This window comes from Homo sapiens, chromosome 7, assembly GCF_000001405.40.
Source record: "Homo sapiens chromosome 7, GRCh38.p14 Primary Assembly".
Lineage (NCBI taxonomy): Eukaryota > Metazoa > Chordata > Mammalia > Primates > Hominidae > Homo > Homo sapiens.
The window spans coordinates 45,190,252-45,195,018 of record NC_000007.14 but is presented as its reverse complement, the minus strand read 5'-3'; the positions used below and the strand labels follow the sequence as shown (position 1 = coordinate 45,195,018).

At 46.8% G+C, this 4,767-nt stretch overlaps 1 annotated feature.

The window, feature by feature from the left end:
* Positions 3,897-4,543: an enhancer, noted in NCBI's record as "H3K4me1 hESC enhancer chr7:45230075-45230721 (GRCh37/hg19 assembly coordinates)". NCBI's record gives its function as "activates a minimal SCP1, AML or CMV promoter by ChIP-STARR-seq in primed H9 embryonic stem cells {active_cell/tissue: H9 hESC(primed)}" and the evidence as "EXISTENCE:reporter gene assay evidence [ECO:0000049][PMID:30033119]".

The following is a 4,767-nucleotide window of genomic DNA, read 5'->3' as shown; positions in this document are numbered from 1 at the left end:
CTTCCCTCACTGCCCTATGTCATCGCATCCTGTGGCTGGAGCACCTTCTGGACTGGAAGACTTCCTGTCTGGTCTTCACCATCTCAGAAAACAGTAAGGCCCAGGAGATAACCTTCATCCCTCCCTCCTCCACCATCAACCCACCCCTCTGCACCCCGCACTGTGACACCAGCACACCTGCTGGGGTCTCCCTTGGACTCCCTGAGATCCCCCCAACCTCCTTGCCCTGCATTGCATCCTGCATTCTCCACAGGGGTCACAGTGGTCTTCTAAGGTGGAAATCACAGAGGCTGAAACTTGCAAATGCTTCTCCCCACACCAGAAAAATCTTGCCCGCCCCACCCCATCATTCGCACACCCCTCACCCATTCCTCCTTCAAAGTCTTAACCCTCGCCCTCCTTTTGGGGACACTAAGTCCAGGGTGAGTATCGTAAGTCTGCAGTAGTTCTCAAACTTAAGAATCACCTGGGGAGCTTGTAAAAAATACCAACTTCTGGGTGGCTCTGCCCCAGACCAGAAAAGTGGGCACCAGCCAGGTGGAAACTGGACACCCGGCTGAGCTTGATACCTGCAGTCATGGAGCCTGGTCCGAGGCCCTGAGGGCCTGAGGGTCTAAGGGTCCTCAGTCTTAGTCCTACTAAAGTCACCTCAGGGGCACCACACCTGAGATTTTGACGTAGTTGGTCTTTGGGGATAGGGCCCCAGACTGGAACTTTTACAAGCTCTGCAGGTGACTCTAATATGCAACGAGGGCTGAGAACCTCACTGCTCTCGACCACTGGTTCCCAAACCCAAGCCTCAGAACCCCCTGGAGCACTGTTAAAATGACAAGTGCTGGGCCTGCCCCAGAGTTTGTGGTCCAGTGGTCCGGGTGGAGCCAAGAATCTGTGTTTCTAACAAGCTCCCCAGCAATGCTGCTGGTCCACAGACCCCCTACTTTGAGAAGTGTTGCCAAGACCTTTCCCGTTCAGGCTGCGGCTCACACTTGAGCTTCTCAGAAAGGCCCGGCCACCTTAGCTGAACATTGGTTTAGTTTCCAATCTGTTGCTACAGCAACAGTGCTGAAGGGAACATCCTCATACATGTTTCTTACACTGGAATATTTCTCTAGGGCTGCTGGTTTAAACAGAATGCCTCTCTTTTTCCATGGAGACTGCCAAAAGATTCACCAAAAAGTAAATTAATTTATAATCAAACCAGGACCATTTCAACACACCCCTACTGTATTAGCCTGTTCTCACACTGCTGTAGAGAAATACCTGAGACTGGGTAATTTACAAAGAAAAGAAGTTTAATGGGCTCATGGTTCTGCAGGCTGTATAGGAAAGCAAAGTGGCTTCTGCTTCTGGGGAAGCCACAGGAAACTTTCAATTATGGCAGAAGGCGAAGGGGAAGCAGGCACATCTTACATGGCTGGAGCGAGAGAACAAAAGAGAGAGGTGGGAGGTGCCACATGTTTTTAAACAACTATCTCCCCATTGACTGGTCAGAGCCCTTGTCGTGGTCATGCTGGGTGCTAGATACTTCACATACTAATCCCCATTGTGTGTGTATAAACATATCTCATGTAGTTTGATATAAGGCTGGTACTTTTCTTATAATTAATTTGTAAATAGTTTGTGGTTTCCATTTTTATTTCTTATTGAATCCAAGATTATATAGAAGGCTTTTTTAAATTTCCAAGTGAAAATGAAACCAGTCCAATTGTCCCATAGAACTGATGTTTTTGTTTTTTTGAATTAAAATAGAAATTGACTGTCCCAGTCTTAAAAATTTGAGAAATGTACATTTGTCTTTCCTGAGTTCCAAACATCAGGCTTCCCAGATAGTATCAAGGACCTGAAACTCACCAGATCACTGCATCTGGACGATGAGACACCAGACCCCTCACCCATCCTGATTGTTGATATGGTTAGGCTTTGTGTCCCCACCCAAATCTCATCTTGAATTGTAATCTTCATAATCCCCATACACACCACGTGTCAAGGGAGAGACCAAGTCGAGGTAATTGAATCATGGGGGTGGTTTCCCCCATACCGTTCTCGTGACAGTGAGTTCTCACGAGATCTGACAGTTTTATAAGGGGATCTTCCCCGTTCGCTCAGCACTTCTCCTTCCTGCCGCCTTGTAAAGAATGTGCCTTGCCTCCTCTTCACCTTCCACCATGATCATTAAGTTTCTTGAGGCCTCCCCAGCCATGTCTCACGTTAAACTGTGAGTCAATTAAACCTCTTTCCTTTATAAATTACCCAGTCTCTGACAGTTCTTTATAGCAGGATGAAAACGGACTAATATAATTGCCTAACTGACCACCTGCTTCCTGTTGACCAACTCCTCTTCCTTAACCCTCGCTAATTCCTCTTTTCCCACACATAGTCACATTTCTTCCCTGCTCTATAAACCCCGAATTTTAGCCAGTTGAGGAGACAGATTGGAGACTGCTCTCTCGTCCTCATCAGCTGCAGCACCCAGGTAAAGCCTTCTTCCTTGGCAATACTCCATTGTCTCAGTAATGGGCTTTCTGTGCAGGCGAGCAGTAGGACCTAGACCAAACCCCTGGTGTTTCAGTAACAAAAAGATTGTTTTCTTTTGCCTATTTGTCCAAGAATGTGGCCAGCATCATTTTAATTTTTTGTCAGTTTCTCATGGATATTCAAAAAGAATGAATATTTTCCTTTGGGGGTGTATTGACAGATAAATGGAGAGACAGATGATAAATATTAGATATATATTATATGAAGCTTATTATTCAAAACTTGTATATACTTACTTTTTCATGTGTGTTTACTTAATTCCTTGATCTTTTAATTCCTGAAAGAGATCTATTGCAAATCTCCCATGGTGATTATGAACTGGTGAATTTCTCCTCCTGTCTCCAACAATCCTGCTCTGAATCCTTTGAAGCTATGATGTTATATGCAGCTGCTTCTCTGCATCCTACAGTCCTACCTATCATCTAAGACCTGGCTTCAATGCCACTTCCTTTGTGGGCTCCTCGAGGGCGTGGAGCTGAGCCTAAACTAATCCTCCATGGACGCCCTCTCTCCACCTACCTCTCCGAGGGACTGGCCTCATTCTGCTCTTTAGGGAGCAGTCTGTGTACAAGTCTCATCTCCAAGGCTCCAAGACAGATAGCCCTTGAGAGAAAAGAGGGTGTCTTTATGAGCCTCTCCCCCTCACAAGGCAAGACACTTGTTTAATTAGTGCTAGGTAACTGAAAGAACATTCATACTTCCCAGATAGCTAATTGATCATACCTAATATCTATTTGTTGCTGATCCCTTAATTGAGAACTCAATCCTCCAACCGTAAAATTAAAAGAACGCCCCTAGAGCAAAGCAAATTCCTATAACAAAGAGGCTTCCATGAATGTAGTGTATTGTGAGCACAGTGCCTGACTTTGCTGGAAAAGCAATGATACGATTGTTTCATCTTGTGATTATTCCACCACCATGAACCAGTGCAGCTGTGGAACAGAGTCCCTTTCACATCCTTCTGAATGAAACTGCTTGGAAACAAAACATATGGAGCATAGATGCTTAAGGCAAAGGAACATCTTTCTCTCCAGTTGGATCCATTCAACATTTACTAATGTTTAATTTTAGGCAAACCCATGGAAGGCATTGGTGGGTAGAGCAGGAGGGTTGAGTGAGGATGAGTGGCTGCAGGCTGAATCCAACACAGTGCCTGGGGGCAAGCGGCTTGAGTGCATGGAAGTTTACACACCTACAGGAAGCTCCTAGCAGTGCCTGGTTCTTTGTGGGGCTCAGCAGATTTTAATAGAAATGTACTGGAATAGGGACATGTTTGATTCACTGAGGAGACCCAAAGGAATGTTCTGGGCCACTTGGGGTCAGCAGCGCCAGAAGCAAGGTATACAATGACATTGGCATGCAAGAGGAAGATTGTTGCCTCCGGTCAAGGTGGGAACAAAGCGTCCAGGCCCCTTACTGTCTTCCATTCTGAGTTCCACAGGCTGTCACAGCCAGGGACAGAGAAATACATTAGAAAACCTAACTGTGGACAAGCATGATCGCCCCCCAGGTGTCCATGATAGGCCTGCCGGCTCATTACCATGTTGATAATACCCAGAGGTCCAAAGCCCCAGGGGTCACTCTGCCAGTGAGTGTAGTTTGTGGAAAAGCAGCCACAGAGGATTCCAGACAGAATGAGGGTGACTCAGGGAAGGACAAGAAGGGTGGGGTCCCAGGATGCACTGAGGCCCCCTCGCAGATCCACTGCATGACTGACAGAGGAAACTGAGATGGGATAGGGGTGTGGGGGGATTTCCTGCAGCTCCTCAGCAAATCAGGAAAGGAGCCAGGCCCCAGTGCTGAAGCCAGCCCAGTGCACGGCCTCCCAGTCCTGCGAATGGCTGGTGGCCTAAGGCAGGCTCCTGTCAGGAGGTTCAGGCCGGTGGGGTCCACATGTGGCCAACGACATGCTTGGTACAGGTAGGTCAGAGGTGCCGAAACTGGTCTTTTCCGGTCATCTCTTCCACTTTCCTGGTCAGCTCCTTGACTAAGGCCTGCACCTTCAGGAGGCTTCTTCCTCCCAGTGGCCTGTCCTCGCCGCTTGGTGCTGACTGATCACCCTCCATTTGCCGGAATCATTTCAACTATATTTGAAGTTGAGTTAATCCAATTTTAACTGAATTTGATTTAAAAAAAAAAAAAAGGACAGGAAGGTTTTTTTTGGTTTGTTTTTGTTTTTTGTTTTCTTTGAGAAGGAGTCTCACTATGTGTCAACCAGGCTGGAGTGCAGTA